This window comes from Homo sapiens, chromosome 2, assembly GCF_000001405.40.
Source record: "Homo sapiens chromosome 2, GRCh38.p14 Primary Assembly".
Taxonomy (NCBI): domain Eukaryota; kingdom Metazoa; phylum Chordata; class Mammalia; order Primates; family Hominidae; genus Homo; species Homo sapiens.
In genome coordinates, this window is record NC_000002.12 from 226985007 (window position 1) to 226999213 (window position 14207).

Genomic DNA, 14207 nt, shown 5'->3' on the forward strand with positions numbered 1-14207 from the left:
GAGCCAGTAACCAGTACCACCTGATTAGGCCTAACATAGATCATTTTGAGTATTACTGCATCCAGGATTGATTGTCTTATTACCATAGATTATGTCTGTTTATCTCCTCTGATTTGGAGTTAGCATATTTAGGAGGCTCCGGATCATTCCTGCAAAGCACTCACTAACACGAGGCAGCATGCACAATAGCAGGAGGAAATTCAGGATTAGAACTGGTTAAACTATCTACATTCATATCCATATCTGTATCTATATCTCTCCCAGTGCCTTGTCAGTCTCCTCTGCTCTGGAAGAATTCTGATATGACATAGAAACTGCTAGATGCTGGCAAATAACTCCTGGGTTTCGGGCCATCTAGACAATAAACAACTCCATAATATTCAATGCAGCAGCCTCTGTAGCGCCCATCTGTTTCAAAATAACCCTAATTCTGCTTACGATGCGGAATGCTTTGTTGACTGGAATTTGTCCTAGTTTTCTTCAGCAGATTTAATGTCATAGGCCTCTGGTTCCACCTGCTGGCAGATATAAATACCAGAATGAAACTCGGGTGGATATGTTCAGTTGCAAGAAAAATCCGAGCTGTAGCTCAATGGTTCTCAAAGGCTGATGTACATCGGAGTCACCCGGGAGCTCATTAAAACTACAGCGGCCTGGGCTCTGTGGGAAGCCCACCCAATCAGCAACTATTTCTTAAACAGCCCTCCTGGTGATTCACACACCCACACCAACGTTAGCAGACCCCACTTCACCTGGAATGAGGGGTGCAGAACCCAGCAAGGTTAGGGATGATTCCAGACCACTATATCCTACTCATGCCCAAGAGTGACAAAGCCACCTTGAGATGCCCACTCCTACCTCTTCCAGTTTATCCAGGTAACTCTTAGTGGCAAAGGCCAAAGCTTTATTCCCTTGGAACTCATTTTAAAAAGAAAAAGTTCAAAGTGGAGAAAACTGATGAAAGCACTACTTATCTAAGTGGTCAAGGTTAATGTCACCAGTGATAAGTCATGTTGACAGCACGTTGATATGTGATGAGGGCATTTCACCTCTATGGTATTCTTCACCAAAACCCATAACCCCAGTCTAACCATGAGGACAAATAGCAGACAAACCAGACCGAATGAAATTCTTCACGATATCTGTCTGCTACCACTCAAGACTGTCAAGGTCATGGGGGTCAAGAAAGGACTCAGAAAGAGCCACAGACCAAAAGAGACTAAGGAGACTTGGTAACAAAATGTACTGTGGTCTCCAGGATTGGACCCCGAACAGAAAAAGGAAATTAGTGAAAAAAACTGGTGAGATCTAAATGTCTGGAATTTAGTTCAGAGGAATGTATCAATGTTGGTTTCTTAGTTTCGACAAATGTACTGTAAGATGTTAACATTTAGGGAATAGACTTGTCTGCAGTATCTTTGCAACTTTTACGTAAATTTAAAATTATTCCAAAATAAAAAGTTTATTAAAAAAATTTACAAGAAAAAAATAACCCCATCAAAAAGCAGGTAAAGGATATGAACAGATGCTTCTCAAAAGAAGACATTTATGTGGCCAAGAAGCATATGAAAAAAAGCTCATCATCACTGGTCATTAGAGAAATGCAAATCAAAACCACAATGAGATACCATCTCATGCCAGTTAGAATAGCGATCACTAAAAAGTCAGGAAACAACAGATGCTGGAGAGGATGTGGAAAATGGGAATGCTTGTACACTGTTGGTGGGAGTGTAAATTAGTTCAACCATTGTGGAAGATAGTGTGGCGATTCCTCAAGGATCTAGAACTGGAAATACCATTTGACTCAGCAATCCATTACTGGGTATATACCCAAAGGACTATAAATCATTCTGCTATAAAGACACATGCACGTGTGTGCTTATTGTAGCACTATTCATAATAGCAGACTTGGGGCCAACCCAAATGCCCATCAGTGATCGACTGGATAAAGAAAATGTGGCACATGTACACCATGGAATACTATGCAGCCATAAAAAAGAATGAGTTCATGTCCTTTGCAGGGACATGGATGAAGCTGGAAACCATCATTCTCAGCACAGTAACACAGGAACAGAAAACCAAACACCGCATGTTCTCGCTCATAAGTGGGAGTTGAACAATGAGAACACATGGACACAGAGAGGGGAACATCACAGACCAGGGCCTGTTGGGGGCTGGGGGCAAGGGGAGGCATAGCATTAGGACAAATACCCAATGCATCTGGGGCTTATAACGAGATGACAGGTTGATGGGTGCAGCAAACCACCATGGCACACATATACCTATGTAACAAACCTGCATGTTCTGCACACGTATCCCAGAACTTAAAGTATAAAAAAAAAAAATTGGGATGGGAGGACGGCACTGAAGAGAGACAAAATGTGTTGGAGGACATTGCCAAGGAGCATAGCATGGCTGCTTCTGTGCCCAGCTGCCAAAAGTCATGAGCAGCTAGCTGGTAGGACAGGCAACAGTCTCCAGAGAAGCTGCTCAGGCAGCTGGCCAATGAGGCAGGTTGCTGGTGTGACACATTTGCACTCTCCCATCTCTCCACCACCTGACGCCTGTGTCTCACTGGGAACAAAACAATCATGGACACTCGAACCTCTGTGTGGGAGTCAGAGGTCCAGGCCCCCCTCTGGGTACAGATGAGGGGCCTGAGGCCCAGGGAGGGAAGTGACCTGTGCCAGATCGTGGTGGACCCCAGATATGAACCCACATCTGGTTGAAGTGAATTCATTTGCCACAGCATTTCTCAGTGACTTGATATATTATCTGCAACAGAGTCATCTGGGTGCTCGTTAAAATGAAGTTCCTGGGCTCCAACCACCACTTACTGCATCAGAATCTGTGGTGAGGGGGTGGAGGGGATCCAATAATCTGCATTTTGAACAGGTTCTTCATTTCTGTGCACACTTCAGATTAAGGACCACTGCAGCAAACTGGGCAATGGTTGCTGTTTGATGGAAACTTCTGTGCATAGGGCCAGGGCTGCTAAAAAGCTGAGAATGGGAGAATCCAGCTGCCACCATTCTCTTAGGATGAAAGTCATAGCAGGTGGCAAGCAGCAGGGCCAGGACCCAGTGTGTTTCAGGAGGAGGCAATATTTTATTCTATTTTGAGCTCAGTGTATTATCATTTAAACACTCTTGCCCTCACTACTCTTTTCTTTTTAAAATAATGTAATTAAAACTTACCCAAAGACAGTCTCAAGATCAAGAAGCAAGAGGTTGGGAGTAGGACTCATATCAGGGCCCTGAGGAGGCCACTGTAAGTCTCTTCCCCTGTCCTTCCCTTCCACTGTGCCCCACCTGAACATCTGCAGGAAAACCAGGTCATAAAGAGACAATGGCAAGTCTCCTGGACCCCAAGATAAAGGTCAGAACAGACAAAGGACCCAGATGCCTGGGAAGCCTGAAGCAGGCCGCAGTTTGGACCTAAGGAATCCTTTGAGGCTGCAGGGTCCCTGTAGTGGAGTTGAGCAAAGACTCAGGCCTTGCGAGGTGGATAGCAGCTGCCCGCACTGTGCCAGGCTGGCCCTCTCTGCGGACTGGTGTGGAATCTGCATCAGAAACATCAGAAGAGGCCGGGGGCTCCAGCTGCCCCTCCGAGCAGACACATTGGCCCTGGAGCTTCTGAGAGGAAGGTAGGATTTTAATATTCCGAAGGGTTTTCATACTTTTTCTATCATTTTACAGACCTCATATACATAGATATAGATATATTAAGAGATAGAACGAGCATAGAGAATTATTCCTGTAAGAAGTTACAAACTGTTCTCTATTTTAGAAAATACTTGAGAGTTAACTACCAAGGCTGACTTTTGCAGCTAGACCTATCTATTGCCAAACCTTACTCCTTGTCAAAGGAGATCCTAATTCTAGATGCATCCAGTTATCCAAAATAAAGCCTTACTATTTGCAGTGAGCCTTATTTAAGGCAGAAGATGCATTGTTTCTGCTGTCTTTTAAACAGACCCTGTCTCCAAGTCGTAATTGAGGCAATAATACATTCTGGAGGTTTACACATGCTGATGTAGGGGCTGAGGAAGACAACTGGAACATCTCATGTCTGAAGGAGAATAGGCGGGGATCTAGGTTTGAGTTCCTGACTCAGCCACTGACCAGCTATTTGGCTTTGCCAAGTTGCTTAAAATCTTTAAGCCTCAATTCCTCACCTGTAAAATAGACAAAGAAATTCTACTTGGAGGGATAAGTAGGATAGAAACCACTTATAACAATGTGGATAAATCTCACAAGCATAATGTAAATTGAAGCCACTCACAAGGCATACATATTGTATGGATCCACTTATGGACAAAAATAGGGGAAAAATCTATAGTTAGAAATCAGGATCATGGGTACTGTTGGGTAACGGGGTATAGTAACTGGAAGGGGGCTTGTGGTGGCTTATAAGTGCAGGAAATATTGTGGTATTTTCAGAAATATCCTCATATCTTGATCTGGATATTGGTCTCACATGTCCAGTTTGTGAAAATGAATCAAGTTATACACTTCAAGGTGTAGGGGTAGGGGAGCAGTAAACAGAGTGAGCATGTAGCAATTGTCCCACAAATATTCTTTGTCTCTTTGACTTTTCTTTCTTTTTTTGGGAGGTGGGGGAATTCTAGAAGTCTGACCATATCTTGTCTATATTGCAGGAAACACTGACCTGACATAGTGGACCTGATGTTATAGCTTACTCGATTGTTAACTGGATTATGGCCTGTTGATTTTAAGTCATTTTTGTTCATTAAGGGTCTCCAAAATTAACCAACTGGAGGGGAGAGAAAAGTACAACAGGTAAAGTGGTAAACTAGGGGCTGAGTTGATCTCTATTTCACAATGCAGGGTGCTGACCACTGTAAATCACAGAGATCTCCATTTCAAGGCTTCTTGTTTTGAGATTCCAGATATTATTTCAGCATTAGGGAATCTCCACTGTTGCAGTCTTGATTGATTGAAGGATAGAAATGCGAATGTTTTCTCTCTAAAGTCACATCTAAATATTACCTTTCTCGTAAACCAAAACTGAAATTTCCATTTGTATGAAAGTTATACCATTTTAAGTTAATTTCACACTATTTATAAAGAGAGAATATTATAATTAGTGACTCAAAAAGTAAAGTGTGGTTACTGTCTTTAAGCATCTCCCCTTTTCATGTCTTGCTAAATTGTTAGACCTGGGGTCCCTTCAGGCCTTTTTGGTCTTTGACGGTAAATGACTTAACAACCATCCTTTCAGGGGAGGCATTTTGGGAGCTTTGCAGTTCATGGAATGCTAATAAAGTAACATTCTTGAAAGAGAGAACATGGGTCGCATGCTGCTGCCCTCATCTGACAATAGAAATCCCAGAGAACACTGGTGATTTATTTAGAGGTTTCCTGGTTTAGAAAAAAAGTGATTGCCTCTTTAGCTCCCTAATTTAAGGGAGAGATACTATGCTATCCTGCGACTCCAGTATAACTTCACTGCATGGCATAGTGCGTTCATCAGATCATGGGCAGGATCTATGAATAGCAGCAAATCAAACATCTCTATTTACATGGATGGCGAACGGTAGGGAAAATGGCCATCAACTCATGGTGTTCCTTTTAGCAATTCTTATCTGGACAAAATTGCTTCTCTTCCCTTAGATGTAAAATGCAGAGGCTACTGCATTTTACATAAGGGTAGAGGACTGAACAGTTTTTCATCAAGAACCACAAATCAATAAATTTTATGATCTTACTACTGGTGCTGTAATTGAGGTAAATCATCTTAACACGGGAAGTATTCCTGAGGTTCTTTGAAGCATGCTCACTGCTTCTTTGAGTAAAATTGAGGGCTGACCTCCATTGACAAAAACACAGAGGCAAGGCTCATAAATACTCATATTCTCTACCAAGTTCTTTGGAGCAGGGCCGTTTCACCCAGGCCTGTAAATGTCCAATGTATGATTTAAGCAGAGAAAAGAAGATCTTGGCTGGACACTCCAGCTCTGTCAGTCACCCAGAGGCTCCTTCATGTGACAAAAGCGTGCTGCTTAATGAAAGTCATTAATTACCTTTTTATATCTATTTCTCAGAAGACAGATATTTAGTAACTAGCAACTCAACACTTTGTACAAAACACTGCCAAAGGGTTTGCAAACAGAATTGAGCTCTGTATTTTAAGAAGTCACTGGTTTTGTCATTTTATATATCTCTTTTTTGAGACAGAGTCTCACTCTGTTGCCAGGCTGAAGTGCAGTGGCAAGATCTGGGCTCACTGCAATCTCTGCTTCCTGGGTTCAAGCCATTCACCTGCCTCAGCCTCCCAAGTAGCACGGGATTACAGGCCCAAGCCACCACACCCAGCTAATTTTTGTATTTTTAGTAGAGTCGGGGTTTCACCACGTTGGCCCGGATGGTCTCAATCTCCTGACCTCGTGAACCGCCCGCCTCAGCCTCCCAAAGTGCTGGGATTACAGGCATGAGCCACCATGCCCAGCCCATTTTGTATATCTCTTATACAGAGTTAATTAATGATAGGAACCAAATAGACATTTAGCACATGATTCTTGATGATGTTAGAGATGAACAATCATACCATCCAATGTTCAGCAGGCATTTACTGTCATGTGGCACTCAGCTAATCATTTTATATGCATTATCTCTTCTAATCCTTCAACAACCCAACAAAGGAGCTACTCAGTATTCCCATTTTATAGATAAGGAAACTAAGACCAAGAGCAAGAGGGTAGCCTACTTGCTCAAGGTTGTGTAGCTAAAAAGTGGAGGAGTTGGGATTTAATCACAGGTTGTCAAACTTCAGAATCATGGAAAGGACCCTGGAAGTCCCCTTTTTCAGTAGCCTCCTCTCACGTATGAGTCAACTGGACACTGCTGAAATGAAGCATCTTGTGAAGGGTGTCTCCACGAGTCCCAGGCAGAGCTGGGAAACTATCTCCTAATTCCCTACTAATACTTTTTCCTTTACACTCATGGGGACACCTCCTACCACCCCAAGGAAGCTTGTCCAGATTCTTTCCTGTGTGCTGAACAAATGTGAGTACATATCAGAAACACAAAGATAAGACCCTTCGAGAAAGCCTGCAAAGGATGCTGGAGGTTAAGGAGAGAGGTAGTAGATCATATGACACAAGTGGAAACTATAGAAACAATTTGACACATGAATGCAAAGGTGGGGAAGTAGAAGACAGAGTGTACCTGAGACTGAGTGGACAGCCAGGAAGCCTTGTGCCGAGTGTGGCTCCAACGCAGAGCACACACACAGTAGTCGGTGTAGGTTAGGGGCTGACATCAACTTTGTGATTCTCTTCGAAATAAGTTTTTATGCTTAAAAACATTCTCCTCAGATCAACTCATATTCAAAACAGTGTAGTTTTCAGAGTTGGAAACAAAGCAATTCGGCCATTCTTCAGAGAGTAAGATGGCTTTTGTATCAATAACACTGAGTTGGAAGGATTTAAAATACCCTTAAGAGCTGGCATGATTACAAATCGGGCATTATTGTGGTTTGGGTTGTATTGTTATACCCAAGGTCTTCTTGGTTCTAGAAAGCCGAACCATGCTAGTAGCCAGTGGAATTTAAGGAGACCCACGTGGGAACTTTAGAGTTACGTCTTTGATATCAGCAGAGTCCCACAGAATTGAGAACTTAGACTGGAACTTCTTATTTTTCTGTTTTCAGATAGCAGTGAGCTTCCCACATGTCCATATCCATGAAGAAAAGGGACACTGGGTTTGGGCAGGAAGGGCGGGAATGGTGAGAGGTGCAACCCTGAACACTTGCGGTGTGAGAACCGATGGCCACGTGGGGAAGTGGGAAAAGACTCAGAAGGTTCGCTGTTCTTCATGCTAGCTCAGTGACCTCAGATGTGTCCCTAACACCTTCTGAGCCTCTGTTTCCTCTTCTGCAAAACTGAGATGATTCTATTGGGAGTGAAAGCTAAGTGGAGAAGTGTACCTTGAAAGGGCTTTATAAAGAAGAGTGTGATGATTATTCTTCTCATGACATGAGTTTTCTACTTCAGCATGTGGCATTTCTTTGGTTGGCTCAGCCCTGGTTCTCCTCGAATGCCCTGCAAATGGGTCCAAGGCCGTGTGTGCTGGCTGCTCCTTTTGAGAGCTGGACCTCGGGCATCTTCCTAGTCTGCCCCTTCTAATTCCTCCAGGCAGTTCCCTTCATGGAAATTATTAATCTGCGGGCTTTTTCTTTTGAAGAAACGCTAAAGAAAACACCAGAGGACTCTGTGTTTCCCTCTGGGAGTCTCAGCAGTCTTTCAGCCTCCATGGGTTTCTGCCCTGTGGCCTGGAGTCAGGGTGCCACGTCGAGCTTGCTTCTGACTCTGCCCTCAGCTAGTTCTAACAGAGTTCCCAGGCCATCTGGAATGAGGTGTCAAGTCCTGGCCTGCACTCACAAGTGCAATTAAGACCAGTCTTTTTAAAAACAACTGTTAAAGGCAAAGGAGAATTTGGATCTCATCATATAAAACAGTTTTAAGCAATCAACTACTGGTGATTTGATTCATGAATATGTAATTTCAAAGCATTTACCATTTTGAACAAAGAGAGATTCCTTTACAAATACATATGGCAAAAACGTTTTTTGGGGTGTTTATTTTGGGGTGTTCTAGTCAGGAAGGGTACCAGGGGTTGGGGAGGTATAATTCTCCCATGCTCTCAACAGGAAAGGAGAATCAGTTATGGGGAAGCACTGGGATCTTCATCAGTAGAGAAGCAAAAATATAAAAAAGGGGTTGGCTTTGACTGCTTTTTTGAATTTCTCTTTGACAACGGAAACTTCAGCTGTGGATTGAAAAGACGGACTCCGTTTCCCACTGCTTTCTCTAACATCTTTTCACTATGGTTTTAACAGTTGCCATGTCAGCTTATGCATAGATGGACACATCTTTGAAAAGGTGCCACTCTTGGGCAATGAGCAAGAGGGATCCACTGTTTACTTGCTTTCCCTCCTGGCTTAACTGTGCTTTGCCCACCCTCCCTTCCCAGCCAGGCTAGTGCTGCCAGAACATTTGGGTTCTGCAAATGGGTCCAAGGCCATGTGTGCTGGCTGCTGCTTTTGAGAGCTGGACTGCGGGCACCTTCCCAGTCTGCCTCTTCTAATTCCTCCATGCAGTTCCCTTCATGGGCAATGAGTTGTGTCAGAACCTCACTGGGCAGCATTGGAAGTCATAAGCAGGTGCTGTTGAGTCAAGTCCATATATTTATTGAACAGCTACTGTGTGTTCAGAACTGTCCCAGATGCTGGGGAGAGGGAGATAGGTCAGGGGGTCCCCTACCATTTTAGAGCTTATGATCCTGGTAGGAGAGAACAGAGTGGTGCAGAAATGCCTACACATCTGGCAGGATGTGGTGATGATTGAATGAAGACAAACAAACGGAAGGTGCCGAAAGCTGAAGAGTTTGAATTGGGAAGAGTTCTTCCATTGGTTCTATCGGGGTTGACCTAGCATTACAAGAGTGAGTAAGACTTCTGGTTGATGTAGGTGATGGGAGAGAGCCTTTCAGTGCAAATTACCAAGGTTAGCAGAGCTATAGTAGTGAAAAGGTACAGCCTTTTTGGTCCCCATGCTTAGAAGTAAACCTCTACTTACCCGTATCTATCAGTGATGTGTCTTCCTGGTTTCCTCATGGGGAATATTGAAGCTCTTTCATTACCTTTAGGTTGCTGGTTCCTTGAGATCAAGGACTATGTATTTTTCTCCCTTTATTACTACTCATGATGCCTGGGAGAATGCTTTCTTATGTAGTGATTGAAATTCTTGTATCATTACAAACTGTGTTTTTGGTAAGTTTGCATCCCTAAGAAACTCTTTTCAGTAACGATTTCCACAGTCCTTCATATGATCTTGAAATATGATGCCTACATCTTTGTTTACCTGCCCAGATATTGATCAGTATGGTAACTCTGCTCCAGTGGTTGCTTGTGTGTTTCAATCACGCATGATTCTTATTGGCCACATTGGGGCAGGAGGCGGCACATTAGAGGGAAGAAAAGGAGCACCCAAAGGCTGATCAGAAGAAGCCAAACCAGCCTAGTTGGTGGGGAAGTTAGTAAAGGTGGCAACAAGTTATATATGGGCATAAAAAAAAAAAGACAATAAGCCCTTGAGATACTGTGTAAGCCTAAATGATGCAAATTATGGAGCACGATGGAAGGAAAAATACAAGTGGGAAGATTATCAAGAAGCCTCAAAATGAGTCAAATCAGATTCATGGCTGAACCACTCTAAAAATATTTACTTGACGTTGAAATTTAGTACTGACAGCTGAAGTTGAAAAATCTTTGTTATATTTCTGTTTTGTGTTAAAATGAAGATGACACCCAAGCTATCACTTTGTTCCCTTGGAATCCTAGGGTACACATGCCTTGTCACGTCAGAATGATTGATTTTTCCTTTGGCTTTCTCACTACAGGAAATACCAGAAATAGCCCACCACCCTACGGGTTTCATCTCTCACCAGAAGAAATGAGGAGACAGCGGCTTCACAGATTCGATAGCCAGTGAGGTGGCATCTTGGGAAGACATGGCCTATTCGTGTAATTATTGCCCATTTGGCTCATTCCCCAAGCCCCTAATTCATTTTAATTCATTTTAAACAAAAGCAGAGTACACCGGTATTGCTCCAGATCGCTCACATCACCTGGGACAGTCCCATGGCCCCTATGAGTCAACTCACAGCTTGCGGGGAGTGGGCCTTCTCCTGGCCTTGTTCTTGCTCATAAACAGGTCACTTCCTCCATGAAGAGACCAGTTTCCACGCTCCCATCTCTCACTGCTGACTCAGCGATGCCTCTGCCTCGGTCTGCTTTTGAAGACTGTGACCTTCACCAGGAGGTTTTACTTACACCAGTCGGGAAGATTAGTCCCTCATTCTGCCTGGAGTGCCCCGTGTTTGACTTGGCAGCGGGTGTGGAGCCATCCCCGCGTCCTCCTGGCGCATTGCCACTGTGGCTGTCCAGGAACAGGATGTGGCTGCCTTGGCCGAATGTTGTCCTACTCTCCCCAACCCCGGCGCCTCAGCTCCTCAGCTCCTCGGGCCCCTGCGTCTGGCTGGTGTTTGCAGGGCTTTCGCTCTGCTCTGGTATTGCTCTGCCTTTATAGAAAGTCTTATTGAAGAAGTGTAAGAAAGACCTAAGGTGGGGAAGACTCCTACACACACCATTAGTATCAGTGACACCAGCAATGTAGGTTCCCAGCCCCTTCCCAGTGGCAGCTTGTGTGTCCAGGAGATAGGACATCATTTAACGCATCAGCAAAGTAGCAGCAGATGCCACATACAGAGTAGAGCGAAGGCATTTGGTGGATCGGTCACTAGAGATCTATCTTGCAGAAAGTATGTTTTTCCTCATAAAAGTGCCTCTTAATTGGCCATTGTACCAGCCACTTGTCCTAGCCAAATGTCCAAAACACGCCCTTGGGCCCCGCCACGTTACAATCCACAGATTGTCTGTCTGAGTCGTTTAAGGCATTTCCTGGTGCTTGTGTTCCATGAATAAAAGGACAAAGTCAGAAGATCACTGATGTCTTACTGTCAACAGAGATATTTTAAAAGAGAGAAGCAGGAAAAGATCTTCCTTTTTTGATCTACAACTTATATAGTTTTCTGATTATGCACATAATAGATATGCCTTCCAGATGCATAAGGCAAACATCTGGAAAGAAATATACCCAAATCTTAGCAGGGGTTATCTTTGGGAGTGGAGTACATGGGATTTTGCTTTCTTCATTTTTATAATTTTATATTACTGTCTTGGAAGATGTGTTTATGTGTGTGTGTTACTTTTACAATCAGGAAAACATATTTAATAACATATAGTCAAGAAAACAGACTTAAAAATAAATACTATGTGTCCATTGAGAAAATTCACAATATAAACAGAAATACAAATAAATACATACACAATTTTAAAGTCACCTGTAGCCCTACCCTTAGAGGTACCCAGGGTTAACATTTTGGTGGTATTGTCTTATCAATTTTTCCGTTGATACATTCAGCAAATTTGGAGCACATTGACCATGGAGTTTTGTGTCCAAATCCAATCTGAATTTACCTGGAAGAGGCCTTGACACCTGCATGGAAATGAGCTAAGAAAACCACTGGAGCCTTGGGAGCTCTTTGGCCTCCTGGCTGGCCCAGTAATATCTGAGCTCCTTTGGTTAATTTATAACTGATATAAAACTACATCTTCTTTATAATATAAATTGTACCTGTGAGTCTAGAAGCTTTAAATGTGTTTAAATTAAAATATTCAAGCTAAATGTTACTGCTCTCTCCCAAATTCTGTAAGTTTGACTCCCGTTACCCCAATTAGAAGTAACTTCTTTGTTTCATGCCACTTTTATAGCATTTGGTAATTCTGCTATAACACATCTTGCCCCTATTATTAACTGTGCACAGCTACACAAAGGTGTGCCTTCTACGTGGGAACATGGATTGTGAATGACTCTGTAATGAGGCCTGAGTCTTAGTTATCTTTCCACTCACTCCCCGTCTCCCCTTTCCAACCCCAAAGGCTCACGATAGGGGCTCACTAAATGTCAGTGTTTCACCAAAGTATTTTTTCCATTGTATTAAGAGTCCAGTCACTGTATATGGAAGTATTTTATTTTTTATTTTTTTATATCACTTGAGTCCACTAGTAGTACTTCCTTGCTCTGTTTGACTTGTCAGATACAAAGACACGGGATTAGATTTTGGGTGGTAAAATTGTGATACGCATGGCTGTTGATGGAGTGGAACATCTTAGTGATGTGAGAAAGGTCATTTTAGTTATAAATGTAAACCAATTACTTTAGCACAACAATAAAGATGTTCTGGAAATTATTATAATTATTTTAGTTAATGGACTTGCCTGTAACAAGTGCTTATGTTTGGAATGTCCATTTTATTTTATTTTCCTCTACAATAAGGAATCCCTAAAGTTATGCCAACAAACTGGAATTGGATTGAGAAAGACAAAAGCAAGTGAGCAAGTGTATTAGACTAATTATCTCTAGTAGGGAATAAGCACTTAGAGCTAATTTTTTAATTTGGTTTATTTATTAGTAGCTCCCTGATTGTCTGTTAAGCCCCTGGTTCCCACAGTTTGGTGTGGTCAGTCAACTTAAGCGACCTTTTAATGCAGAATCTTTACTTGGTTCTGAAGAGGAGGCAGTAGTTAAAATTGCTTCCTCTTAATGACTCTGAATGTATTGCCTGTGATTCCAAAGTTGTACATAATTGTTCAGACCTCCTCCATCCTTTTAAATTGCCTGCTGCAGTAAATAACTAGTTTGAGTAGAACTAGATCCTGTCTATCTATTTGGCACATGTTCTGCTGCCTGGGGAGTAAGCAAGCTAAAGGGATGAGAAAGACCACCTCCCCCTACCCTGGAAATTGCACTGCAAGGCAGGGCGAGAATGGGGTAGCTGGCAGACCTGGCCTCCTTGTTCCCAGTCTTAGTTTTTCTTGAGAGATTCAGTATTCAGTAAAGAATAGCATTCAATTAGTCAAAAAATATATATATAACTTCTTCCTTTCCCTTCCCATGAATCATTGCAGTCATTCCCTAAGTTTCTTCTCTTTTTTTTTCATGGCTGCTAGTATTTTATTTTAGAATCACAGACTCTCAGCTTAGAGAGTCACAGTATCTCAATTATTTGCTCTGTTCAATACTTAACAATACCTCCTCACTCAATTCTACATAACTCCAGCTTAGTCTTCCAAAATTCACTTTCATGATGCCACTCAGCATCTCAAATACCTTTCATTGGCTCTCTGCTGCCAAAGGATAAAGGTCAAAGTCATTAGCCTCAACAGTGGGCTTCAACCAGCCTTTGGACCTCAGCCCCATTTATCCATCACAGAGGCTGGTAACTAGTCTCACTGCTCAGGCTGTGAGTGTTCCTGATCTTGTGACATTCTGTGCTGTGCTTTTACATGGAACAGCTCTTTCCTCTCTCTTGGCCCATTCAGATCCTCCTCATCCAGCCCCCATCTGAATCCTGTAACAGACACAACCACATCTACACAGTTTCCACATACCACTTGGAATTGCTGGTTATGCTGCAATGAGAGAATGTCTTTGTCTTTAAATTGTAAGCTTCATGAGGGCAGGGACCATCTGTTTCTCTGTCTCTCCTCACAGTGCCTTGAGCAGTACGTTGTCTGGAATGTCAGAACCAATAAATACTTGTGGATTGAAACAAAAAGAG

At 42.8% G+C, this 14207-nt stretch overlaps 2 protein-coding genes across 49 annotated transcripts in view, besides 2 other annotated features; one reads left to right on the forward strand and one right to left on the reverse strand.

Annotated features, from left to right (window-relative positions):
* Positions 1-14204, forward strand: part of RHBDD1 (rhomboid domain containing 1) — a 199052-nt gene extending 184848 nt beyond the window's left edge. For 17 of the 31 annotated variants that reach the window (NM_001349069.2, XM_047445998.1, XM_047445995.1 and 14 more), the window contains one exon: positions 10425-14204. In NM_001349069.2, the coding sequence (NP_001335998.1) occupies positions 10425-10516 (92 nt within the window). In that variant the 3' untranslated portion in view covers positions 10517-14204. Of the gene's footprint in view, positions 1-3325; positions 4803-10424 lie in introns of those variants that run through there. The other 14 variants (XM_047445981.1, XM_047445993.1, XM_047445984.1 and 11 more) reach the window with 2 other exon arrangements.
* COL4A4 (collagen type IV alpha 4 chain) overlaps positions 1-14207 on the reverse strand; it is a 197129-nt gene that overhangs the window by 17647 nt on the left and 165275 nt on the right. The gene's annotated exons all lie outside the window — the stretch shown is intronic.
* Positions 10072-11271: an enhancer, noted in NCBI's record as "P300/CBP strongly-dependent group 1 enhancer chr2:227859794-227860993 (GRCh37/hg19 assembly coordinates)". NCBI's record gives its function as "activates an origin of replication core promoter dependent on BRD2, BRD4, P300/CBP, MED14 and CDK7 cofactors, with strong dependence on P300/CBP, by STARR-seq in HCT116 cells {active_cell/tissue: HCT116}" and the evidence as "EXISTENCE:reporter gene assay evidence [ECO:0000049][PMID:35650434]".
* Positions 10451-10952: an enhancer, noted in NCBI's record as "H3K4me1 hESC enhancer chr2:227860173-227860674 (GRCh37/hg19 assembly coordinates)". NCBI's record gives its function as "activates a minimal SCP1, AML or CMV promoter by ChIP-STARR-seq in primed H9 embryonic stem cells {active_cell/tissue: H9 hESC(primed)}" and the evidence as "EXISTENCE:reporter gene assay evidence [ECO:0000049][PMID:30033119]".